We start from the raw sequence: 24,199 nt of genomic DNA, 5'->3' as shown, positions 1-24,199 counted from the left end.
TACTTAAAAGTAGGCTGGGTGCGGTGTCTCACGCCTGTAATTCCAGCGCTTTGGGAGGCCGAGGCGGGCAGATCACCTGAGGTCGGGAGTTCGAGACCAGCCTGACCAACATGGAGAAACCCCATCTCTACTAAAAATACAAAATTAGCCAGGCGTGGTGGCGAATGCCTGTAATCCCAGCTACTCGGGAGGCTGAGGCAGAAGAATCACTTGAATCTGGGAGGCAGAGGTTGCAGTGAGCCCAGATCATGCCATTGCACTCCAGTCTGGGTAACAAGAGAGAAACTCTGTCTCAAAAAAAAAAAAAAAAAAAAAAGATTTGCTTAAAAGTTAACATCTCCGGCCGGGCGCGGTGGCTCATGCCTGTAATCCCAGCGCTTTGAGAGGCCGAGGCGGGTGGATCACGAGATCAGGAGATTGAGACCATCCTGGCCAAAATGGTGAAACCTCGTCTCTGCTAAAAATACAAAAGTTAGCTGGGGGTGGTAGCGCGCGCCTGTAGTCCCAGCTACTCGGGAGGCTGAGGCAGGAGAATCGCTTGAACCAGGGAGTCGGAGGTTGCAGTGAGCCAAGATCGCGCCGCTGCACTCCAGCCTGGCGACAGAGGGAGACTCCATCTCAAAAAAAAAAAAAAAAAAAAAGTTAACATCTCATCCAAATTTGCACCGAGTAGGAAAACAAAAGTTTAAAACATGAAACAGATGTTACTGAGGCCGAAAGGGTCTCCCAGGCCTGGGAGTCTGCAGCTTTTATGCAATTCTGCCCTCTGGCCACCGCCAGGGAAGAAAGGTTGTCTCCGTCTGCTGCATCGCCTTTGCCCAGCAATGAAGCCCCCAAGACAGCGGCAGCCGGTTGCCTGAACCTTCCTATCCTTGGGGGCACCCAGTGCAGGTGGATGACCCGACTCAACCTCCGCCAGGGCACCCTCGGGGCAGGACGGGTAGCAAGGAGGGGACAGAGATCGGCCCCAGGAGACCACGGAAGATCGCGCTCCTGGGGCCAACTTCAGCAGCGAGAGGCGGCCTTTGCCCACCGCCTCATCCCACCACGCCGCGGTCCTCCAAGAACCTTCCCAGCGGTTCTCTCCTCCTCTCAGGAGTAGAGGCCCTCTGAGACCGACGGGGAGGGACGGCTCGGGCCGGTCATCCGAGGGGCCGCACGGATTCCCTCCTCCGCCCAGCTCCACCCCCTCGAGGGGCGGCGGTCCGGGAGTGGCGACCCGGCTCCCCCATGGCGCGCGCCGTCGGGGCCCCTGGCCAGGCTCCGAGCGGGGTTGGCGGGGAGGGGAGGCGGGAGCGAGGGCGGGCGGTGGGAGGTGGGGGCGGGAAGGTCCGAAGGCGGCGGCCTGAGGCTGCACCGGGCACGGGTCGGCCGCAATCCAGCCTGGGCGGAGCCGGAGTTGCGAGCCGCTGCCTAGAGGCCGAGGAGCTCACAGCTATGGGCTGGAGGCCCCGGAGAGCTCGGGGGACCCCGTTGCTGCTGCTGCTACTACTGCTGCTGCTCTGGCCAGTGCCAGGCGCCGGGGTGCTTCAAGGTGAGGACGCGGGCGGGGTGCGCCCTGAGGGGCAGGCTAGGCGCGGTGGTGGTGGCGGGGATGGGTTCTGCTCAGAGCTCGGGTCAGCGCGCGGAGGGTCTCACGGCCCCGGCACCATACGGCCAGTAGGTCAGGGCGTGGGGACTCTTTGGGGGGGTCTCCGTGGGACCTGCCCAGGGACGCTCAAGTGTGCTTGGGCTGGCCCCGGGCCCGGACTTGCCCACACTGCCCGGCTGCCACTCCGCTGGCAAAGCAGAGGGCATGGCTCCCTCCCCCTCGGGGGCAGCCCAGCCCCCAGCCCATAGCCGTAGCCCCCTCTTCCTGGATTCTCGCTCTCACAACCAGCTTCCATCCGCAGGCCACCGTGTGACCCGCTCCTGCTCCTCCACCCCTTAGGACTCAGCGGGGCTCCGTCCTCTAGGAAGCCCCCATGCCCAAGAGTCCCCCAGAGTCCCTGCTTTGCTCTCAGGCTGCAGAACTAGCTGTGGCCTCCACCCTGCTCACCCCTCGTCCCTCCTCCCAGGGCAGCAGGGCAGTGTGTATGTTGTTTATATTGTTGCCTTGTTTGGTGAGATAGAGAAGGGCCTCTCCAGATAGAAGGTGTCTGTTTAGCAGTGCTCTGGGAAGACTGCAGCTGTCTCCTCGGGGTAACCCCTCCAAACAAAGATGTTAAGATGGGGCTGGAACAACCTCTGCAAGCGGGTGGGAGGATTAGCCAGTCCTGCACAGCAAGTGCCTGGCCGGGAACAGGGAGGGCAACCAGGGAGGGGGCATGCGGGGCTGGGCTGTGCTATGCAGACTGGGCGGTGGCTTCCACAGCACTGTGTGGGGACCAAACAGGTACAGGGGCCTGGTCTGTTCTGGCCCCAGGGGAGGGCCCCAGGCGGTCCACTGCTCCCTCCCCTCTGAGCCCTATCCTGGGGTCAGGGGAGGTGATGGGACCCCTGGGAGAGGGGCGTCTATGTGCCCAATACCAGCCTGGCTCCCTCGGGTTCCACCCCCATTCACCCGGTCACCGGAGCTCCAGCTCCAGCTCCAGCTCTGCCCCTCTCTCCCTCATTGGGGTCAGGGTGCCCGTGGCCAGCACGTGCGCGCAAGGCCATGTGGACAGCACCCACACACCACACTGCACCCACACCACACCTGTGCCCGGGCCCACCCTACCTCTTCCCCAAACCCTTAGAGGCCTAGGAGCAGCAAAGCTTGGTTCTCTACTCTCAGTTAAGTGCTCTCTGGGCTGAGAGACCTCCCCTCCTTCCCCTCCCCCACATCCACTCAGAGCCCTCCCTGCACTGGCCCCTCTAGCCTCCTTTCCAAGGTGGCAGACTCCTCTCGGCCCTCATCTGCCTGATGGCAATTCACTCATCCAATCAAGGAGGGCTTCTTGGAGGAAGGGTCTTTGATGTTTGTAGTCTGGGAGAGAAGGTGGAGGAGAAAAAAGGAGTTGGGGTGGCCTAGCAGGAGCTGAGTCACTTCCACAGGCAGCCATCAGCCCAGCAGGACTGAGGCCAGGGCTGCGTGGAGGGGGGAGGCTGTCTGTTCTGGGAGCTGGGACTGGGTACCGGGGGAAGGAGGGCTGCTGCAGGCTCTGGGTGCCTGGGGCCTGGCTCCTGCAGGGCGGGCCTGTGAGAGTGGTTGGGGCCAGTGGAGGGCTGGGAGCATTCCAGGGGAACATTCCAGGCGCCCTCTGAGTAATGCTTGGCTCTGGGATTCCTCCTAGAGCCCCCTTAGGCACACCCGGCCAGGGAGCACCAAGGCTCCGTCCAGAAGCGTCCCCTCCCCTTGAAGAGATGAGGAGGGGCCTTCTGGGCCAGGGTACCAAAACCCTGCCACCAGGACAGAGTCCCCGAGGGAGCTCTGGGCAAGGTGGACCTCGCAAGGCAACATCTGGCTGTTGTTTTTCTCAGATGATGGGGGGGGCACAAGTGTCCTCTCTTCGTACATCTCTCACCCTAAAGGCATCTGCTGCCCATCTAAAAATCCCTAAGGCTGCCGCGCTCTTTCCTTCCCCTCTGCACTGGCGGCCTTGGCCTCTTCCTTGTGATCGCCGAGCCCAAGCCTGCCCCCCGACAAAGGTCAGGGGACTCCCGTGTCCCCAGCTGAGCTGTCCCTTTCCAGCCTTCTCTTTTCCTCCTCCTTGATAGCTCCTCAGATCCAAGGATGCCCACGGGCGTCCCTCCTTCTCCAGGCTGAGCCCACGCGTGTTGAAGGTGAAGTCTGCCCCAAAAGGCCTCCAGTGCCTCCCTGGGGATGTCCTCTACCCCCCTCCCTCTGCTTTGTCCCATGCCCCTGTGTTCCTCAGGTCCCCCTCACCCTGTGCTCTGTCTTTACTCCAGGACATATCCCTGGGCAGCCAGTCACCCCGCACTGGGTCCTGGATGGACAACCCTGGCGCACCGTCAGCCTGGAGGAGCCGGTCAGTGCCATGTCTCCCCGCCCTCCACAGGGGCCCTGAACCTCCCAGCCCTTTTGTCTCTCCCTACATTACAGCTTCTAGTTTTGCTGGGGTCCCCAGAACCACCAAGTCACTACTCCTATAGGCCCCTGCCTCCCCTGCCCCTCAAGTGGGCAGAAGAAGGCACTGGGGTTTGGACATCTGGATCTCGTGAGCCCGCACACATGGAAGTCATTTCAGCTTTCTCCACCCCACCTCCCTCTTTCCCTCCCTCCCTGGATGATCTGGGCCACCCCCACCCCCACCAGGCAGAAATGGGTCCAGAGTTTGTGGGTCCTGAAGCTTTTCAGGAGCCTCTAAAAAAAAAAAAAAAAAAGCACCAAAAAGAAAACCTTTTGCAAAGTTGACCAGAACATGTGACCCTGTGGACACACTGCTGTCCCTCTCAGGGCCCTGCCACGAAGGCCTGAACCTTCAGCCTCACTGGCTCCTGTGGAATCCACTTCTGGTATCGGGGGGGCAGTGGTCACTCTCCTGATGTCCCCCAGATGTAAGACCACCCCATGTGCTTCTTCTGCAGGACGCTCTGCCCCAGCCTCTTCCCAATCCCGCTCTTCACACGCTTCCAGAATAACCATGCCCCATCTGTTTGTGCCATAATATCTGTGCTGCAAACTAAGAGGGCAGTAGCCTTGATATGCTCATTTTACAGAGGGGCAAACGGAAGCCCAGAGAGCTTGGGGAAATTGTCCATGGTCACACAGCTCTTTAGGCTGGGAGCCTGAGACCCACTAAGGTCTGAACGATTTTAAACCATTGGCTACACCCCTGCCCCTCCTAGAGAGCCCTCTTTGTTTGGAATTTTCAGCCCTACTGTCCAAATCCAGCAAGAGGGAAGGCAGGGGAGCATTGCCATGAAGGCTGAGAGGCCCCCAGAGACCCAGCAGCTCCCAACCCAGGGCCCTCACTGGGATCCCCTAGGCCCATAAGGCCCCCATTCCACTGGTCAAGCACGGCACTGGCCTGAGCTTTGAGATTGCCCTCCCCATCCCCAGGAGGGGAAGGCTGGACACACACTGGGGTCACTCTGCCTCTGGGCCTCCCTGTCTGTCTGGCCTGGGCTGTGACCAAGAGGAGAGCCCCAAAGGGGCTCTGCTTCCCCCACCGGTGGGCCCCTGCCCCCAGGAAGCCTGCCAAGATGGTACAGAAGAAAGAGTAGAGGCTAGGTGTCCCCTCCAAAAGGCAGGAAACACTCACATTTCAAGATGAGGGGTATATATCAAGGGGCAGGGTACCAGGAGGGCAAGAGTAAAGATAGCAGGGGCTGCAGAGGAACAGGGACCTCGAGTATGGCCTTTTTCCCGGTGCAGACCTTTCCCCAATAAAGCAAGTGGCATTCCAGCCTCATGAGCTCATGCTGGAGGCCTTGTGGGGCCTGTGGCCAGGGAGGCAAGGACCATCTGCTCCCCACTTGCGAAGGAAGAACTCCCTCCAAAGACTCTGAGACCCTTGGACAGGGCCCCAGGCCAGTGCATTTTTGGAGAAAAGGAGTCGGGGGTTAAACATTCCGAAGGCGCAGCAGCCTCCCAGGAAGCTCCTGGGCCGGCTCCAACTCTGGGCCCCCAGCCAGGCTGAGTGGACAAGGGGGAAGTGGGGTGTTCCCACAGGGTGGGAGACGCCAAGAGGGTGGGGGAAGGAGAGAGGGCTGGCCGTCCAAGCCAGCCTCCTGACACCTAGCTGAGAGCCAGTGTGCTCTCTTGGCTGGAATGGCGTCCATGTTTACTTCGTGGGTCCAGTGAAGCAGGTGTCGGAGCCGGAGGGACGGGGGCTGCTGGAGGCCCAGGAAAACTTTGGAAGAGGGAGCAGTTTGCCAAAATTGGAAGTGGAGGAGTCAAATTTGAATTCTATAGGGAATGAGCAGCAGCTCATTTGGAAACAAGCCTCAGGTAGCAGAGGCTCTGAGGAGGCCCTGACCATGGCTACCCGATGCCCCCATAATGTCCTCAGCACCCCTCTGTCTTCCCCTGCTTTTGATGCCCCTTCTGGGCATGAAAGAAGAGGGCGGGCCAGGGGAGGGGCACCTTTCTGGGACCTCTGGTCTCTAGGGAGGATGCTGGTGTGCCTGGCAGGCTGTGCCAACGCCCTTCCAAGTGGCTGTTGTCAGGACTGCAAACATCCTGAGTTTGGGAACATCTTTGTATGTTCTCACCTCCTCCACGCCCTCCATAGTATGTGGGGGGTCCTGCTGACTCCCCAGCCCACGTTCTCCCCAAGAACTTCCTCCCCAGCCGGCTCCACAGGCCACCTACTCCCTGGCAGGCAGGAGGCCTGGAGGCCACCATCTCAGCTCCACACATTTTCTTGCCCAGGTCTCGAAGCCAGACATGGGGCTGGTGGCCCTGGAGGCTGAAGGCCAGGAGCTCCTGCTTGAGCTGGAGAAGAACCAGTGAGTGCCAGGCTGGGGTAGGGCTGGGAGGAGGGGATCAGTGTTGGGGGGCAGGGACTGACACAGATCTGTGCGGGTGGCTGGATGGGCAGAGGACCCCAGAGAGGGTGCAGATGACAGGGAGAGTCACGCAGGCCTGTGGTTGGCTCCCTGGAGGCTGAAGAGGACCGCTGAGGCTGTCAGCCCCGCTGTGGGGCACCTCCGCCCTCCCAACCCCAGGAGCGGCTTGTTAGCTCCCTGCTGGCGATGAGTGAGCACCACCTAGTGGACATTTGCAAGATATGCTGAGTCTAAAGAAATCCTAGAGGGAAAAGATGAGCCGGCACCCCAGGCTAAGGGAATGGCAGGGACCAAGATGCGGTGGCTTTGGGAGGCCGAGGCGGGCGGCTCACCTGAGGTCAGGAGTTTGAGACCAGCCTTGCCAACATGGTGAAACCCCGTCTCTACTAAAAATACAAAAAATTAGCCAGGCGTGGTGGCGGCGCCTGTAATCCCAGCTACTTAGGGGGCTGAGACGGGAGAATCGCTTGAACCCCGGAGGTAGAGGTTGTGGTGAGCCAAGATCACACCACTGCACCACTCCGGCCTGGGCAAAGAGTGAGACTCCGTCTCAAAAAAAGAGAAAAAAAAGAAAAAGAAAAAAAAAAAGAAAGAAAAGAAAAAAGAAAAAGATGCAGTGGCTACACTTGGGGGCAGCAGTTTGTCTGACCTGCCTGGAAGGTCTCCATCTACAGGGAGGGGAGCAGGGGGGAATGAATTTGGAGAGTCCCAGGAGGGCCAGATCACAGAAGGCCATTTTGGTGCTCAGTGTCCTGGACCATCCAGAGCCAAAGATTTTGAGCTGGGGAAGGGACAGGCAGACCTGTGCTCAGGAAGGTGCCTTGGGCTGGGTGGGGTGGGTGTCCGGGCTGGAGCGCAGGCTCTTAAAACCACCCAGATTATGTTATCAGTATATATCACCTACTGAGTGCTTGACCGCAGGCGCTGTTCTGAGCACTTGACACGTATTTTATTCTCCCTCGTGGAGTCGGATGGACAGGGAACAAACTCTAGTTCCACTGTGCCCAACCATATTTTCCCGACGTCCCTACCCTTTCAATGGGGTGGTCACATCACCTACCTCCTAGGGTGGCGGGTGTGTGTGGGGCAGGGGTAGGGGGCAGAGCTGGGGCAGGTGGTGGAATGCCTGGGAGGGGGGAAGCAGCCATCATTAGCGGGTGGTCTGGAGGTAATGAGGCCAAGGTGAGGTTGGGTTAAGGATTTTCTTTAAAGAAGACAGATTGACTTATGATTGATCCATCCGTGTGGGAAAGATCCTGTTGAGATGGAGCCTGAAGATGGAATCATTACCGGAGTGGGTGTGGAGAAGGCAGGGAGGGTGGAAGCAGCGTGGGCAGGTGGCGATTCTGTTTTCTCTGGAGGCAGGGGGTGAGCATCAATCACTGAAGGACAGGTGGGAGGTATGTGGGGTCTAGAAGTCTGAGGAAAATATTTCAAGGATCTAGGGCAGGTGGGGGCAAGAGGGTCGACCAGATGCCCAACAAAGGAGGGCAGCAGGCAGGGGAACTGGGGGAGGTCACCGCATTTCCCCAACTCCAAGTCCCATTCTTCGGCAGTGTCTCCTGACTCCTCCCCTCCCGATCCTGTGGATCCTGCTGCCTGCTGCAGGTCCCCTGGGAACCACAAACTCTTCCCCTATTCCCACTCCTCCCCGGCGTCCTCCCTGGTGCTTCCCATATTCACACCTCCCACAACTAAGCCATCACCAAGGCTCCTTCCTCTAGCCCCAAGAGTTTCTGATCTGAGCAAGTCACCATTGCTCCTGTCCCTTCCCTAAGACACACTGTGAGTGTCTCACTCATAAAGCTGCTCCATTAGCATTTAGGGAGGAAGGCTGGGAGACATCCTGGAGGAGGCAGGAGGAAGCTGAATTCAGTGTTCCCTGTAACACCCCCTCTCAGCAGGCTGCTGGCCCCAGGATACATAGAAACCCACTACGGCCCAGATGGGCAGCCAGTGGTGCTGGCCCCCAACCACACGGTGAGATGCTTCCATGGGCTCTGGGATGCACCGCCAGAGGTACCCCCCCACCATTCCTACCCCTACTCCTCCTTGCATTCCTAAGGGGCGGTTGGAGCCAGCCCCTACCACACCCTCCCTCTTGCCCCTCTTGCTCCAGCCCTGGCTGAGATTTGGGGCTGGCCCCTTCCTCCCTAGGATCATTGCCACTACCAAGGGCGAGTAAGGGGCTTCCCCGACTCCTGGGTAGTCCTCTGCACCTGCTCTGGGATGAGGTGAGCTCTGGGAGAGGAGGCTGGGCCTGGGATGGGGAAAGAGCTCCCTCACACCCGCTCCTACCCCTCTGCACCCTAGTGGCCTGATCACCCTCAGCAGGAATGCCAGCTATTATCTGCGTCCCTGGCCACCCCGGGGCTCCAAGGACTTCTCAACCCACGAGATCTTTCGGATGGAGCAGCTGCTCACCTGGAAAGGAACCTGTGGCCACAGGGATCCTGGGAACAAAGCGGGCATGACCAGCCTTCCTGGTGGTCCCCAGAGCAGGGTCAGGGGCATCGATCGGATGGGAGTGGGAATGCTGTATCTATAGCCCTCCAAATCAGAAGAGACGGGAATTCACAGGCCTCGAGTCCCAGTATTTTTATTGAAGTCTGAAGAAACAAGTTCCAGAAAACATGTTAAACTTCCTTCTGGGAGCTGGGATTGGTGGTCAGGGCTCAAGCCCAGCAGCTTCCACTCAGGGTCCCCATTTGCACCTCCGCAGGGCAGGCGAGAAGCGCGCAGGACCCGGAAGTACCTGGAACTGTACATTGTGGCAGACCACACCCTGGTGAGGAGAGACCCCAGGGGTTGGCGGGGTCAGGGATGGGGCCAGCTCAGCCCCTCAAGCCACCGGGATTTCTGCCTTCCCAGTTCTTGACTCGGCACCGAAACTTGAACCACACCAAACAGCGTCTCCTGGAAGTCGCCAACTACGTGGACCAGGTTGGGGGCGGCGGGGAGAGAGCGGTGATGGGGGTGGCGGCGGCAGGACAGGCAGGTGCTGGTGGGGTTTGGGGAAGAGGAAGGGCGCCCCACGAAGGACCACCGGCGCGATGGGGCGCCCTGTCCCGGCTTCAGCCCCGCCTCGCCCTCAGCTTCTCAGGACTCTGGACATTCAGGTGGCGCTGACCGGCCTGGAGGTGTGGACCGAGCGGGACCGCAGCCGCGTCACGCAGGACGCCAACGCCACGCTCTGGGCCTTCCTGCAGTGGCGCCGGGGGCTGTGGGCGCAGCGGCCCCACGACTCCGCGCAGCTGCTCACGTGGGTGCCTCTGACCCGGACGCGGGTCCCGGGTGGGGCGGCCTCACCTCCCGGCCCCGCCTGGTCACGCCGCGCTCCGCCCCCAGGGGCCGCGCCTTCCAGGGCGCCACAGTGGGCCTGGCGCCCGTCGAGGGCATGTGCCGCGCCGAGAGCTCGGGAGGCGTGAGCACGGTGAGCCCCGCGGGCGGGGGCGAGGGAGAGACAGGAGGCTCTACGGCCGCAGTGACCGCCCTCCCACGGCCCCCCAGGACCACTCGGAGCTCCCCATCGGCGCCGCAGCCACCATGGCCCATGAGATCGGCCACAGCCTCGGCCTCAGCCACGACCCCGACGGCTGCTGCGTGGAGGCTGCGGCCGAGTCCGGAGGCTGCGTCATGGCTGCGGCCACCGGGTACGCGGGTGGGGGGTCGGGGCTGCGGCGGGGCGGCTAGTCCTGGGGACTTCCTCCGCTGCGTTTCTTTGGTCGTCCCTCAGTTTCCTCTTCTGTAAAATGGGGATAATGATCATAGTGTCCGCTTCAGGGTGGTTTATGAGGCTTAAAGGGAAGAAGCTCAGGCAAAGTGGATTCTCAACGGTATGAAGATTATTTTCCGAGTAACCTGGCGAGGTTACTCCTACACCGGGAGGAGCACCGTCGGGTCGCGATTCCACCTTGGGTCCCGGGCTGCTCACTATTGGGGCCGCATCGTCCCCTGTCCCGCTTGTTGTGTGACTTTGCGCGGGTTACTTCCCCTCTCTGGGCTCTGCGCGTCTGGCGGCTGTAGCCAAGCCCAGGGGTGGGGATCAGAGAAGCGCGGGGGTTGGGGGACTGTCCCTCCATGCCCAATGCCCTCCCCGTGCCGGTAGGCACCCGTTTCCGCGCGTGTTCAGCGCCTGCAGCCGCCGCCAGCTGCGCGCCTTCTTCCGCAAGGGGGGCGGCGCTTGCCTCTCCAATGCCCCGGACCCCGGACTCCCGGTGCCGCCGGCGCTCTGCGGGAACGGCTTCGTGGAAGCGGGCGAGGAGTGTGACTGCGGCCCTGGCCAGGTTAAGTCGGCTCGCCCGGCCCCCACTTGCCCTCTCCGCTCAGGTCTGGGGCGCTGCGCCCTCACCTGGGCCCTTCTTGCCTTTCTGGTCCCAGGAGTGCCGCGACCTCTGCTGCTTTGCTCACAACTGCTCGCTGCGCCCGGGGGCCCAGTGCGCCCACGGGGACTGCTGCGTGCGCTGCCTGGTGAGGGCATGGAAGGTTCAGGGTGAGGGTTTCGGGGAGCTTGGGAGCCGGCCTGTTGGCCTTAGTTAATTGGTGCCCTCAGGTTCCCCCGTTGGGTGCTGGGCTTGGGTAGGCCTGGCTCCCCCAGCTCCGAGCCGCGCTCTCGGCATGGACCTCTCACTGCACGTGGCCTCTCTCTGCCTTCCCCACCACCCGTCACCTGCGCAGCTGAAGCCGGCTGGAGCGCTGTGCCGCCAGGCCATGGGTGACTGTGACCTCCCTGAGTTTTGCACGGGCACCTCCTCCCACTGTCCCCCAGACGTTTACCTACTGGACGGCTCACCCTGTGCCAGGGGCAGTGGCTACTGCTGGGATGGCGCATGTCCCACGCTGGAGCAGCAGTGCCAGCAGCTCTGGGGGCCTGGTGAGAGGACACGAGCACCCTTGCACCCTGCCCCCCATCCTCTGGTGGGGCCAGTTTTCTACTGTGGGGAAGATGGGCAGGGGAAACTGAGGCCCGCTGAGCGCAGCCCCTCTCCGAGCTGCCCCCAGCCTGGCCCATGCTTCCTCAGGCTCCCACCCAGCTCCCGAGGCCTGTTTCCAGGTGGTGAACTCTGCGGGAGATGCTCATGGAAACTGCGGCCAGGACAGCGAGGGCCACTTCCTGCCCTGTGCAGGGAGGTAGGGAGTGGAGCTGAGTGGAGGGAGCAGAAGCTATGGAGTGGGTTTGGGGAAGGGGGGTACTGCAGCTGTTGACCCCCCTCTACTTCCTCCCCAGGGATGCCCTGTGTGGGAAGCTGCAGTGCCAGGGTGGAAAGCCCAGCCTGCTCGCACCGCACATGGTGCCAGTGGACTCTACCGTTCACCTAGATGGCCAGGAAGTGACTTGTCGGGGAGCCTTGGCACTCCCCAGTGCCCAGCTGGACCTGCTTGGCCTGGGCCTGGTAGAGCCAGGCACCCAGTGTGGACCTAGAATGGTGAGCTCTGCCCACCCGACCCCTCCTTGCCGTTTGAATCCCGCAGGCCAGTGTCCCCCTCACTGCCTGGTGCACTGCCCGTAGGTGTGCCAGAGCAGGCGCTGCAGGAAGAATGCCTTCCAGGAGCTTCAGCGCTGCCTGACTGCCTGCCACAGCCACGGGGTGAGAGCCCGAGGAGTGGGGGTGACCTTGGGGTTCCTAATCCTACGTGACCCTCCTCTTCTCTTCTCTGCAGGTTTGCAATAGCAACCATAACTGCCACTGTGCTCCAGGCTGGGCTCCACCCTTCTGTGACAAGCCAGGCTTTGGTGGCAGCATGGACAGTGGCCCTGTGCAGGCTGAAAGTATGCCAGTGGGGGGCATGTGGGCAGGAGCTGGGGTGGTGCACCTGCTCAGGACTCAGCGCCCCTTCCCCCAATCCCCGCAGACCATGACACCTTCCTGCTGGCCATGCTCCTCAGCGTCCTGCTGCCTCTGCTCCCAGGGGCCGGCCTGGCCTGGTGTTGCTACCGACTCCCAGGAGCCCATCTGCAGCGATGCAGCTGGGGCTGCAGAAGGGACCCTGCGTGCAGTGGGTAGGCTCCGAGCGCCTGCTTCCTGAGCCTACTCCTGCGGTTCCCCTCCTCAGAGCTCTGCTGGGGCTGTGGGAGCTGGGGCAGGCCCTCAGCCTTGCCCCCAGGTGCAGAGAGCAGCCCCAGAGGCCATGGAAAGAAGTAGCTTTGAACAGGAGGTTCCAGTGGCCTCCCAGTCAAGCGAGGGGGTGGATCCCTGCCCCACCACCAGCACCGCAAGGCATGGCCCTCTACCTCCCAGTACAGCTCCTCTTGTCCACTCTCCTGCTTCTCCCACCAGCTGGCTGCCTCACCCTTGACTTCGCCCTGTTTTTCCCTGGCTCAGATTGCAGTCCCTGTACCATGCTGCCCCCGGAGGCCTGTCCAGCCTCTGTCTCACCAGTTTTCGGCCCTTTGCCACTTCCTCTGCACAAATCACCTCTGTCACCCCCTTGAAGTTCCCAAATGCTGGGCCCAGCACATCTTTTCACTCCATACCACTGGTCAGCTGCGGTGCTGGCTGCCCCTGTGCCAGGGCCCTGCCTTAACCCAGTTCTCTGTGACCTGGGTGGTGGCGGAGTGGGGAGTCACATAATACTAAGCATGGCTGTCCTAGGACTCACCCTGCACCAGGGCCCTAGGCAGGGCAGGCACTCTGTGGCCATGTCTGACATAGCCTGGTCTTGGGAGTGCTCCGGGCAAGCCAAGGGAGATGGCATGATTTGGGCCAGAGATGGGGGCAGAGGGCATAACAGACAGGGGCAGGGCACCACCTGGGCCCCGGGTGGCAGCTAAGAGGACCCTGACAAAGCGAGTTGTGATTGAGGGTCTGTGGGCAGAGGAGCAAGGTGGCCAGAGCCTGGCGTGTCAGCACGGAGGGGGCGCTGCAGAGGGTGGCGGCTGCTTCTCATCCCCAGGCGGGAGTCTCAGGGCAGGGGAGAATGTTTTGAAGGAACATCACAGGAAATGACAAGGCCTTGGGGGATGGGATGGGGACAGTCAAAGATGGCTTGGAATCATCAAGGGCAGCAGGGCACCCAGGGGCAAGGAGAGCAGACATAGCTGCCGAAGGGGCGGACATCCAAGGTTCTTTGGAAGCTGAGCGATGCCAGCATCTGGAGAGTGCCAGGCTGCTGTCAGAGCCTGGAGGAAATGTTAGGACTAGAGAGAGGAGGTGCCAGCCGAGGGCATGAGGCTCACTTGGAGCCTGGATCCCAAGGCTCCCCTGAAGAGGGAGCAGGAAGGGAGCTGAGAGGGTGACTTGGAGCAGATGGGTGCCCCAAGAAACTCAGTAAACGCAGAACTCCCTGGGCTGGACACCATGCTGCGGGGAGGCAATAACCCACTCAGGATCACTGTGCCAACCTCCTGGACTCTTATCACGTTGCTCAGCCCCAAAGATGGCCCACACAGGGACCACCCCCTGGGCGGCGTTCACCCCATGGAGTTGGGCCCCACAGCCACTGGACAGCCCTGGCCCCTGGGTGAGTGAGGCACCAGGGGGAGGTGGAGAGGGAAGGGAGAAGGGAAGGGCTCATGCCTCCTGCCTCCTTCCAGATGGGCAGCACCCAGTCACCTTGAGTCCCCTATGCCCCTCCCCAGCCCCAGGGGCTCCTGCTGACCATATTCACAACATTTACCCTCCACCATTTCTCCCAGACCCTGAGAACTCTCATGAGCCCAGCAGCCACCCTGAGAAGCCTCTGCCAGCAGTCTCGCCTGACCCCCAAGGTAGGCAGGGACCTGGATTCAAAGCCTCCCCCTCTCATCGCCCACCCTCCCACCTCTCCCACCCCTCAGTTTGCTGCCCCCTAATCAGGTTTCTGGGCTCAGGTTATTATGGAAATGAGTTTATGACCTCTTGGTTATCATGCAGACCAGGATGCTGGAAGCCCCTGGGCTGGGGAGGGAGAAGCTGTGGCTTTTCCTGGATCACTGGTCCTCACTGAGTGAGGATGGGCTCTCTGCCACACAGCTTGCAGCCTGGGGCCCCAGTCCTTAGGGGACAACATATCCTCCTCATTCTCAGCAGATCAAGTCCAGATGCCAAGATCCTGCCTCTGGTGAGAGGTAGCTCCTAAAATGAACAGATTTAAAGACAGGTGGCCACTGACAGCCACTCCAGGAACTTGAACTGCAGGGGCAGAGCCAGTGAATCACCGGACCTCCAGCACCTGCAGGCAGCTTGGAAGTTTCTTCCCCGAGTGGAGCTTCGACCCACCCACTCCAGGAACCCAGAGCCACATTAGAAGTTCCTGAGGGCTGGAGAACACTGCTGGGCACACTCTCCAGCTCAATAAACCATCAGTCCCAGAAGCAAAGGTCACACAGCCCCTGACCTCCCTCACCAGTGGAGGCTGGGTAGTGCTGGCCATCCCAAAAGGGCTCTGTCCTGGGAGTCTGGTGTGTCTCCTACATGCAATTTCCACGGACCCAGCTCTGTGGAGGGCATGACTGCTGGCCAGAAGCTAGTGGTCCTGGGGCCCTATGGTTCGACTGAGTCCACACTCCCCTGGAGCCTGGCTGGCCTCTGCAAACAAACATAATTTTGGGGACCTTCCTTCCTGTTTCTTCCCACCCTGTCTTCTCCCCTAGGTGGTTCCTGAGCCCCCACCCCCAATCCCAGTGCTACACCTGAGGTTCTGGAGCTCAGAATCTGACAGCCTCTCCCCCATTCTGTGTGTGTCGGGGGGACAGAGGGAACCATTTAAGAAAAGATACCAAAGTAGAAGTCAAAAGAAAGACATGTTGGCTATAGGCGTGGTGGCTCATGCCTATAATCCCAGCACTTTGGGAAGCCGGGGTAGGAGGATCACCAGAGGCCAGCAGGTCCACACCAGCCTGGGCAACACAGCAAGACACCGCATCTACAGAAAAATTTTAAAATTAGCTGGGCGTGGTGGTGTGTACCTGTAGGCCTAGCTGCTCAGGAGGCTGAAGCAGGAGGATCACTTGAGCCTGAGTTCAACACTGCAGTGAGCTATGGTGGCACCACTGCACTCCAGCCTGGGTGACAGAGCAAGACCCTGTCTCTAAAATAAATTTTAAAAAGACATATTACACTTGGACCTTGGTTAGTCTTTTCTGTATGTAAATTCAACCCATGGGGTGCCCTGAGGACCACACGGGGTGGTGGTTGGCGGGGTGGTGGTTGGTGGGGTGGTGGCTGATGGGGTGGTGGCTGACGGGGTGGTGGCTGGCAGGCCGAGCCTAGGTGGCAGCCAGAGCCCCAGGCATGTGTCTGGGCACAGGACGGTGTTGCCTAGTTTGAACACCCTCTTTGCTCTGTCACTCCTGCTTCCCTTGGGCGTTCACATTCTCCCATTGCTTCATGCAAGAGCTGCTGAGTGGCCTATATCAGCCAGCTGTTGCCGCATAACAAAACCATCCCAAAACTGAGTGCAGGGAGGCAACTTCACCTCGGGCTCCACTCCACAAGCCCAAGGGGCCAGGTGAGAGTGCTCTCTAAAGCCCCCTCCTGCCTCAGTTGTAGTTGCAAAATTTTAATTTATGAAGGTGACTGATGACACAGAGGCCAATGCTGTTGAAATAAGTTATTACTCACAGTTTCCCACCATGCAGGGCCACAGTGGGGAGGCACTAGGTTTGGTCCAGGGACAGAATCAGGAGCGAGTGGAAGGCACAGGCCACAGCCCACAGTGCCGTTTCCACTGGGGAGGCAAGGCAGGCCAGGGGAAGAGGGTAGGATTGGCATTTTGAATCATTCTGGTGGGGTTTGGGGCGTGGGGTTGGGCTCTAATTGTCTGGGTAGGTGCCTGGCCCTGAGCTGGTTTAGGGCAGGGGAAATACTGGTTTCGTATGTGAGAGTTCCTTGAAGGGGGTGGTTGGTGTATGGACTCAAGACTGGTCGGTTTGCATATGAAAGGCATGAGTTGTTTCTGATCTCCAGGAATCAAGCAGTTTCTCTCCAGCCAACAAGCCCCCACCCCGAGATGTTAAACCATCATAAAATAGAGAATCTAAGGCCAGGCATGGTGGCTCACGCCTGTAATCCCAGCACTTTGGGAGGCCAAGGCGGGAGGATCATTTGAGGTCAGAAGTTCGAGACCAGCCTGGCCAATGTGGTGAAACCCCATCTCTACTAAAAATACAAAAATTAGCCCGGTGTGGTGGCACGTGCCTATAATCCCAGCTACTCGGGAGGCTGCGGCAGGAGAATTGTTTGAACATGGGAGGTGGAGGTTGCAGTGAGCTGAGATCGTGCCACTGCACTCCAGCCTGGGCAACAAGAGCAAGACTCCGTCTCAAAAAAAAAAAAAAAAAAAAAGAGAGACTCTAAAAATACACGTTAATATACCTCCCCCGCTCTTACCCTTCAGGAGGGGGTGTCTAGACCCCGCGGGACTCCAGCTACAAGGGACCCTGGGGAGGCCAACTCTGCCCTCTTGGCTATTCCCCAAGACTGCCCAGCACCCCCTCCACCCCTTCTCCATTCAGTGGCGAACCCTGGGGAGGCCACGTGGGAAGGAAAGAGGGCTCTAAGAGGGGAGGCCCCAGACTGGGGGAGAGGCCTGTCTGGAGCCCAGGATCACCTGGCTGTGCTGCAGAACTGGAGAAGAGAAGCTCAGCAGAAAGGAGCTGGCATGGGGCCAACAGCAGAAAAGCAGGAGGCACGCAGAAGTGACTGGGAAGCAGGAGGGTAGGCATGGACCCTGAGGCTGAGCAGGAGGTACTGAGGGGCAGAGTGGACGCTGAGCTGGGGGTAGCGAGCGAGCCCAGCTCAGCTGTGACGCCCTCTGTTTGGCCACCCAACTACCAGCTACTTGGGCTGCCCCGGGAGGAACTGGGCTTCCTCTGACATTCTGTGGCCTGCGGCCATCTGTCACACCTTCTTCTCTCTCTGCCCCTCCCTTGACTTGTGGCACCCACAGACAGGTGGGAGAGTGTACCTGCCCTGTGTGGTCAGAGCTTGGTTTTGAGTTTCCTTCCCTCACCCCTCTTTCCTCCCACACGCCAAAACACAAGAGGATGTGTCAGAGGCCTGTGAACCAGAGCAACTCCATCCTGAATAGGGGCTGAGCAAAATAAGGCTGAGACCTACTGGGCTGCGTTTCCAGACAGTTACAGCATTCTGCGTCACAGGATGAGATAGGAGATACAGGTCATAAAGACCTTGCTGATAAAATAGTTTGCAGTAGGCCAGGCGCGGTAGCTCACGCCTGTAATCCCAGCACTTTGGGAGGCTGAGGTGGGCGGATCACCTGAGGTCAGAAGTTCGAGACCAGCCTGGCCAACAAGGTGAAACCTCATCTCTACTAAAAATACAAAAACTAGCCAGGCATGGTGGTGTGTGCCTGTAATCCCAGCTACTTGGGAGGCTGAGGCAGGAGAATCGCTTGAACCCAGGAGGTGGAGGTTGCAGTGAGCTGAGATCGTGTCACTGCACTCCAGCCTGGAGCGAGACTCCGTCTCAAAAAACAAAACAAACAAAAAAATCAGCTTGCAATATAGAAGCTGGCTAAAACCCACCCAAACCAAGATGGTGATGAGAGTGACCTCTGGTCGTCCCCACTGCTACACTCCCACCAGCGCCATGACAGGTTACAGATGCCATGGCAGTATCAGGAAGTTACCATATATGGTCTAAAAAGGGGAGACATGAACAATCCACCCCTGTTTAGCAGATCATCCAGAAACAACCATAAAAATGGGCAACCAGCAGCCCTCAGGGCTGCGCTCTCTATGGAGTAGCCATTCTTTTATTCTTTTACTTTCCTAATAAATGTGCTTTCACTTTATGGACTCGTCTCAAATTCTTTCTTGCACGAGATCCAAGAACCCTCTCCTGGGGTCTGAATCTGGACCCCTTTCCGGTAACAGATGTCGTAGAGTGAAGCACAACCACTGCAGGGGCATCTTGGTTTACATTTTGCTTCAGCGGCCATGGTTAGCACAGCGGAAAGCACATCACAGTCTTCTGATTCATTAAAAAAATTAGGAAATGGACCACCACAAACCACAGACAGATGTACTGAGACAGGATAGGTAGTCAAGAAAGTGACCATGTTCTAGGCGCGCAGCAGCAACTGTGGTGACCGTACAGTCAACAAGCCTCAGCACTGGCATTGCAATTGAGCTCATTCAAGCAAAGCTATCTTCAGCAGGGACTTCTCCCTCTAGGCAGCAAGCGCATTTTTATTTTACCTGTCCTCAAACTGATCCTTTGCTCCTTATAATAGTAAGGAACACACCCCTGTGTGGAGATTTAAGATGCTAATGAGGCCAAGCGCAGTTGCTCACGTCTGTAATTCCAGCACTTTGGGAGGCAGAGGTGGGCGGGTCACTTGAGGTTAGAAGTTCGAGACCAGCCTGGCCAACATGGTGAAACCTTGTCTCTACTAAAAATACAAAAATTAGCCGGGCATGGTGGCGGGCGTCTGTAATCCCAGCTACCTGGGAGGCTGAGGCAGAAGAATCGCTTGAACCTGGGAGGCGGAGGTTGCAGTGAGCCAAGATCGTGCCACTGCACTCCAGCCTGAGGGAGAGAGAGAGCAAGACATCGTTTTTGTTTGTTTGTTTGTTTGTTTGTTTGTTTTTTAAAAAAAAGTCAAGACAAATCATAGTGGGGGCTTTTCTGGTCACTTTTTAAATCTTAGTGTTGAGACTTTATTTGAGACAGGGCCTTACTCTGTTGCCCAGGTTGGATGAGATTTTTAACCTCAATATTTACTTATAGAATAACTTTTTGGTTAGTCAAAACAATGCTGTGTCTCATTCTGATCAGAATAAAACATCAGACAACTCAAGAGAAACATTCTGCAAAATAACTGGCCAGGATTCTTCAAAAGTGTCAAGGGTAAAGATAAGGAAAGATGAAGGAACTCCCAGATTGAGGAGAATAAGGAGACAACTGTGATGTGGGATCCTAGAATGGATCTTGGAACAGAAAAAGGACATTAGTGGAAAAATGAGAAATGCAAAACAGTCTACAGTTTCGTTAACAGGATTGTACCAAGGTTAGTTTCCTAGCTGTAATGATTGGACTATGATTAAGTAAGATGGACCATCAGGGGAAGCTGGGTGAAGGGTGTAAGGAAAATGCTTACATTTTCCAACTTTTCTGCAAGTCTAAAATTAGTCAACAATAAGAAGTTTAAAATAGGCCAGGCATGGTGGCTCACACCTGTCATCCTAGCACTTTGAGAGGCCGAGGTGGGAGGATGGTTTGAGCCCAGGAGTTCAAGACCAGCCTGCGCAATAGAGCGAGACCCCAACTCTATTCAAAAAAATTTTTTTAAGTTTAAAATAGAATTATATAAAAAAGGAAAAGAAAAATGCTGTTTCATAGCGTTCCTAGTTTAGCATGGGAGAGACCAGGTCTCCCTGGGTGGTTGTCTGTGTGTTGCTGGGTGTGCGTGGCAGGGCTAGTGTGTTGGGGTCCGTCTAGGCACATTCAGGCGCCGAATCCCGTGGCTCCCAGGTTTACCTGACGGTGCAGCCTGGGGTGGAGACTTAATGAGGGCGGGGAGTTGCTGCAGCAAAGGCTCCTCCCAGGGGTATCAGCGCAGACAGCTGGGTTTTCACTGTGCTCCTGCTCCAGAGGCACTAGGAAGGGGGCGCCTATCAGACTAGGGCTCTGCCAGCCATCCTTCTCTGTTGAAGGTCCAGCATGGTCCGCTGCCTGGGGCCTGCGCTGCTGCTGCTGCTGTTACTGGGTGAGCGCCCCTCTCTTCCCCTGGACCCCGAACCCTGGCCTCTCTGTCCCTGCTCCTCAGTGACAAGGTGGGAGGGCAAGATATTCCAGGAAAAGCTGAACCACAGGAAGGGTTGCCAGTGAGAGGCCTGTGCGCACGGCTTGGGGACCCCTGGCAATTGACCCCACTATGTGCTGAGCACCTCACCTCCCAGCCCCGTCAAGCCACCACCGCCATCCCCCTCCCGAGTCCAGCCTTGGCACCCGTGCCCCAGGAACTTTTGCCTATTGTCTGCCATCTCCCAACTCTCTCACCCTCCCCTCAGCCCCAGCCCTCCTACCCATCACACAGATTCCTTGGTGAATCTTCGGTGTTGTTCATCTGTTGTTCCACCTTCTTGGACTGCTCCGTCCCTGCATGGATGTCGCGGAGGGAGGGGTCACTTTACCGAGTGTAGTGTGGAAAGTGGAATCTGGTAAAGGTTTAAGGTGGAGGAGATCTTGCAGCTGAGATGAGCTGCTGTGAGGGTGGAGACTGGGTAAGGGTGTTCTGGGCAAGGGTGACAGGTAAGCAACAGGCAGAGGTGGGTTCAAACCCTTAGGCAACATCAGGTGCTGGTGTGTGCAGCTGAGACCTGAGGATGTGCCTGGCAAGGCTGTGAGAGGAAAGCAAAGTGTGCCCTTTGGGGAGGGGAGGAAGGGAGGACTCACCCCGCTGCCATCTATCCCCTCCACTCAGGGACCATTCTAAGCCCTCGAGCTATGTTCATCCTTCCTGCAGAGGCAGGTGCTGAAGTCACAGCAGGAATCACTCTCACCACGCGGTCCAATCCACAGCCTGAAAGACACAGCCATTGCCAGAGAGGCACCCTGCTCCCAGCCCTGGGGGGGGGATACCACCCCGTAGCCCCTGTGCACAAACACACAGGGAGATGGATGAGGGGCCAGGCTGTGCACGTCCACTCAGGCTGGGCACCAGAAAGGCTTCTAGTCTGAATGAGATGCTCCAGACTGGAGAACTTGTGGAGGCTGGGGGGGATTCGATTAGCCTGGTTTTTGTGACTCAAATCCTGGGAAGGGGCTGCCAAGTCCCAACTTCCAGTTATCCTGGCTCTATTTAGACACAGCCTGTGGGCATGTGGGCAGAGCTCACCCTCTGTCTACCCAACCCCTGGTGTGTGACTGGGGTGCCAGGCACCTTCTCTGTCTCCAGCAGGGTGTCACCTATCATGGGGCCTGGTCACTAAAACCACTGATGAACCCTTGGGTCCTGTGGCTCAGGACAAAGCCCGGCGGTGTGTCGTCAGGGACTTCTCTGAATCCACACCCTGGCAGCCAGGACTCAGTGGGTTCTTCAGTGGCCAGAGCTCTTGCATGAATCCGCTCTCCCCTGGCTGATGAAGGGTGGAGGGGCTGGAGGAAGCCAGTGCAGATGGGGCAGGATGACCTCGACTCAAGGGAGCATCAGGAAGGGCTGGAGAGGGGAGACACCCATGCAGGGGGCAGGAGGAGGAGCAGGAGGTCAGGAAGGAGGGAGAAACAGAAATCAATAGACCCACCCAAAGGGTCTCCATGGTGGAGGATAAGCGGCGAGGTGGAGGGGGTAGAGGAGGAAAGGTATGGCGTCACAGCCTGTCATTAAGAGACTAGGAGCAGCCACTGTCTTCTATGCCATCTCTGGTTTTAAAGTCTCCATTGGCCAGATCCCCAGAAAGCCTCATTGTTCCCCCGTCAGGTAGTGCCATTGAGTGTAGGAGGAGCCCCTGGACCCGTCTTTGGACGTGTGTGGCCGTTCTGGAGAAATGGTGGCGATGCTTGGGAAGGAGGGGCTTCAGCTTTTGGGGAAGGCCTGGCTCAGCCTCCATGCTCCCTCTCCATCCCTGACGTGTTGCAGAGCCCTCCAGAGCCCGCCGCTGCCCATCCCCACGACGGAGAGCCGATCAGTGCCAGTCGGCCCCGCCTTTGGGCCACACTCTATGCTTTCTCGGGTTTTCAGTGTCCCCCACCTTCCAGGGGCGTGGATGGGCTGGGTGAAGTGTGCATGCGGGGCGCACTGAGACCTGCAGCCTCCCCGCGCCTTTCCCAGGGTCGGCGAGCTCGGTCGGAGGGAACCGATGTGTGGACGCGGCCGAAGCCTGCACGGCGGACGCGCGGTGCCAGCGTTTGCGCTCCGAGTATGTGGCGCAGTGCCTGGGCCGGGCTGCGCAGGGGGGCTGTCCCCGCGCCCGCTGCCGCCGGGCCCTGCGCCGCTTCTTCGCCCGCGGGCCGCCCGCGCTCACCCACGCACTGCTCTTCTGCCCGTGCGCGGGCCCCGCGTGCGCCGAGCGTCGGCGCCAGACCTTCGTGCCCTCCTGCGCCTTTTCGGGGCCCGGCCCCGCGCCGCCCTCCTGCCTTGAGCCCTTAAACTTCTGCGAGCGCAGCCGGGTCTGCAGGTGCGCGCGGGCGGCGGCGGGGCCGTGGCGAGGGTGGGGACGGGGCCTCTCTCCGGCTCACCGCCCTCCCGCCGCGCAGGCCTCGCCTCCTGGCCTTTCAGGTCTCGTGCACCCCAGCGCCCAGCGCCCCCGACGGCTGCCTGCTGGACCAGGGCGCCCGCTGCCTGCGCGCCTACGCGGGCCTCGTGGGTACGCGCGGCCGGGATCCGGGCGAGGGCGGGGGTTCTCCAGGGGATATCTCCGCCCGGGTGGGCCGATGACTTCGCCCTCAGGGTCCCCGCAGGCACCGCCGTCACCCCTAACTACGTGGACAACGTGAGCGCGCGCGTGGCGCCCTGGTGCGACTGCGGAGCCAGCGGGAACCGGCGTGAGGACTGCGAAGCCTTCCGGGGGCTCTTTACCAGGAACCGCTGCTTGGGTGAGGGGCCCGGGGGGGAGTGGAGGGGGAGTGGGGGCGGCGCTTACTGCCCCCTCCCAAGCCGCCTGGCTGGGAGCCATTTTAGAGGGGAGAATGGAAGACTGTACAGTTGAGTCACTCTGTCACAGCTGTGCTTATTATTTTGTTATTCCTCACCACACACCTTCTGTCCAAGGAGCCAGTCTTTGCAGCAGGGGGTCTCTCACTTTGTCCCCTGTGCTGAGCCCTGTGCTAGGGTTTCCCAGCTAAGTCCACCCTGGACCCCTCCCTCCATAGATGGTGCCATTCAGGCCTTTGCCAGCGGGTGGCCCCCAGTCCTGCTGGACCAGCTGAACCCCCAGGGAGACCCGGAGCACAGCCTCCTGCAGGTAGGTGCAGGGAGGGGAGGGTGAGCTGGCACCTCCCCCACTGTCACCTTCACACCCTTCCGTCCCTGGTGGGCCTGGGTGGAGGCATGAAGGGCCTGGGGTGGGGGTGCAGGCAGAGGGCAGAGACAGGCTTTTGCCTCAAGTCTGCACTTGGCTCCCACCCCCAAGGTGTCCTCCACAGGCAGGGCCCTGGAGAGACGCTCCCTGCTCTCCATACTTCCTGTCCTGGCTCTCCCGGCCCTGCTCTGATTAGGACAGCGACCTCGGATAGCACAGCCAGCTACTCCACCCTGCCTGCCTGGGCCGCCTCTGTGGCCTACTGGCCCCTTGAGAAGGGGCTGGCTTACCCCCCAAGCCGGCCCTGGTGCTTTCACTCCGCTGCCCTTTGTAGGTTTGGACACCCTGTGTGCCGTCCCCTGGGGCAAGGGATGTAGGCTGGGGCCTGACTGTAAAGCCCCCGTCTCCCTGTCAGGAGGCATCTTGGTTGTAAGTCCCTTTATTCACAGACCTTGAGACCACTGGGGTCTCCCACAAGGTGGGGTCAGGAGAGGGTCACTTTTGTAGCTGAGACCTCTCTGGAGACCCAGATCCCCTAGAGCAGGTCAGAGACCATCCAGAATCCCAGAATTCTAGGAAATTGTATCAGCCTCCCAAGCATATAACCCCCTAAGGAATCCATCGGACAAGACCCCGTCTAACACTGCATCCTCCCAACTGGGCATTACCCACCATTGTAGCCACCTGTGCGCCATGACCATGCTGGCAGAGTCTTTCCTGTTCCCCATATGCTGCTTGAGGGGCCCCACCCTGTGCCCTGCCTGGCATTGGCCCTGTGGCCATCTTCCCCCTGGTTTCCTGCAGCTGTAGGAATAACATACAGTGCTTATTAAATCTGTGTGCTGAGACTGACCTTGC

The 24,199-nt window shown here is 59.2% G+C and overlaps 2 protein-coding genes across 23 annotated transcripts, besides 7 other annotated features; both read left to right on the top strand.

Moving 5' to 3' along the window:
* Positions 1,114-2,007: an enhancer, noted in NCBI's record as "H3K27ac-H3K4me1 hESC enhancer chr20:3662082-3662975 (GRCh37/hg19 assembly coordinates)". NCBI's record gives its function as "activates a minimal SCP1, AML or CMV promoter by ChIP-STARR-seq in naive H9 embryonic stem cells {active_cell/tissue: H9 hESC(naive)}" and the evidence as "EXISTENCE:reporter gene assay evidence [ECO:0000049][PMID:30033119]".
* ADAM33 (ADAM metallopeptidase domain 33) lies at positions 1,432-15,467 on the top strand. 20 transcript variants are annotated; one of them, XM_011529367.2, is made up of 22 exons: positions 1,432-1,534; positions 3,871-3,950; positions 6,299-6,375; positions 8,340-8,415; positions 8,593-8,669; positions 8,749-8,938; positions 9,158-9,223; positions 9,307-9,378; positions 9,531-9,697; positions 9,784-9,868; positions 9,946-10,088; positions 10,544-10,721; positions 10,816-10,905; positions 11,113-11,308; positions 11,457-11,565; positions 11,663-11,861; positions 11,946-12,023; positions 12,097-12,205; positions 12,289-12,436; positions 13,805-13,896; positions 14,072-14,143; positions 14,442-15,467. In XM_011529367.2, the coding sequence occupies exons 1-22, from the start codon at positions 1,438-1,440 to the stop codon at positions 14,477-14,479; spliced, it is 2,439 nt and encodes an 812-aa protein (XP_011527669.1). In that variant the 5' UTR covers positions 1,432-1,437; the 3' UTR covers positions 14,480-15,467. The 20 variants fall into 20 exon arrangements, 18 of the variants coding, with proteins under 18 accessions (XP_011527669.1, XP_011527668.1, NP_001269376.1 ...); XM_011529366.2 differs by having other exon boundaries at positions 8,340-8,454; NM_001282447.3 differs by having other exon boundaries at positions 8,337-8,415; positions 14,445-15,467.
* Positions 4,498-5,099: an enhancer, noted in NCBI's record as "H3K4me1 hESC enhancer chr20:3658990-3659591 (GRCh37/hg19 assembly coordinates)". NCBI's record gives its function as "activates a minimal SCP1, AML or CMV promoter by ChIP-STARR-seq in naive H9 embryonic stem cells {active_cell/tissue: H9 hESC(naive)}" and the evidence as "EXISTENCE:reporter gene assay evidence [ECO:0000049][PMID:30033119]".
* Positions 5,703-6,305: an enhancer, noted in NCBI's record as "H3K4me1 hESC enhancer chr20:3657784-3658386 (GRCh37/hg19 assembly coordinates)". NCBI's record gives its function as "activates a minimal SCP1, AML or CMV promoter by ChIP-STARR-seq in naive H9 embryonic stem cells {active_cell/tissue: H9 hESC(naive)}" and the evidence as "EXISTENCE:reporter gene assay evidence [ECO:0000049][PMID:30033119]".
* Positions 12,261-12,866: an enhancer, noted in NCBI's record as "H3K4me1 hESC enhancer chr20:3651223-3651828 (GRCh37/hg19 assembly coordinates)". NCBI's record gives its function as "activates a minimal SCP1, AML or CMV promoter by ChIP-STARR-seq in primed H9 embryonic stem cells {active_cell/tissue: H9 hESC(primed)}" and the evidence as "EXISTENCE:reporter gene assay evidence [ECO:0000049][PMID:30033119]".
* Positions 16,003-16,532: an enhancer, noted in NCBI's record as "NANOG-H3K4me1 hESC enhancer chr20:3647557-3648086 (GRCh37/hg19 assembly coordinates)". NCBI's record gives its function as "activates a minimal SCP1, AML or CMV promoter by ChIP-STARR-seq in primed H9 embryonic stem cells {active_cell/tissue: H9 hESC(primed)}" and the evidence as "EXISTENCE:reporter gene assay evidence [ECO:0000049][PMID:30033119]".
* GFRA4 (GDNF family receptor alpha 4) lies at positions 20,043-24,194 on the top strand. 3 transcript variants are annotated; one of them, NM_022139.4, is made up of 6 exons: positions 20,043-20,088; positions 22,153-22,498; positions 22,578-22,687; positions 22,782-22,916; positions 23,193-23,284; positions 23,453-24,194. In NM_022139.4, the coding sequence occupies exons 1-6, from the start codon at positions 20,043-20,045 to the stop codon at positions 23,531-23,533; spliced, it is 810 nt and encodes a 269-aa protein (NP_071422.1). In that variant the 3' UTR covers positions 23,534-24,194. The 3 variants fall into 3 exon arrangements, with proteins under 3 accessions (NP_071422.1, NP_665705.1, XP_005260850.1); NM_145762.3 differs by having other exon boundaries at positions 22,153-22,687; positions 22,771-22,916; XM_005260793.2 differs by lacking the exons at positions 23,193-23,284; positions 23,453-24,194 and having other exon boundaries at positions 22,771-22,859.
* Positions 22,418-22,527: a silencer, noted in NCBI's record as "silent region_12623". NCBI's record gives its function as "represses an Ori minimal core promoter by ATAC-STARR-seq in GM12878 lymphoblastoid cells {active_cell/tissue: GM12878}" and the evidence as "EXISTENCE:reporter gene assay evidence [ECO:0000049][PMID:35858748]".
* Positions 22,618-22,667: a silencer, noted in NCBI's record as "silent region_12622". NCBI's record gives its function as "represses an Ori minimal core promoter by ATAC-STARR-seq in GM12878 lymphoblastoid cells {active_cell/tissue: GM12878}" and the evidence as "EXISTENCE:reporter gene assay evidence [ECO:0000049][PMID:35858748]".

This window comes from Homo sapiens, chromosome 20 (genome assembly GCF_000001405.40).
Source record: "Homo sapiens chromosome 20, GRCh38.p14 Primary Assembly".
Lineage (NCBI taxonomy): Eukaryota > Metazoa > Chordata > Mammalia > Primates > Hominidae > Homo > Homo sapiens.
This window is presented reverse-complemented; position numbering and strand designations above follow the sequence as displayed.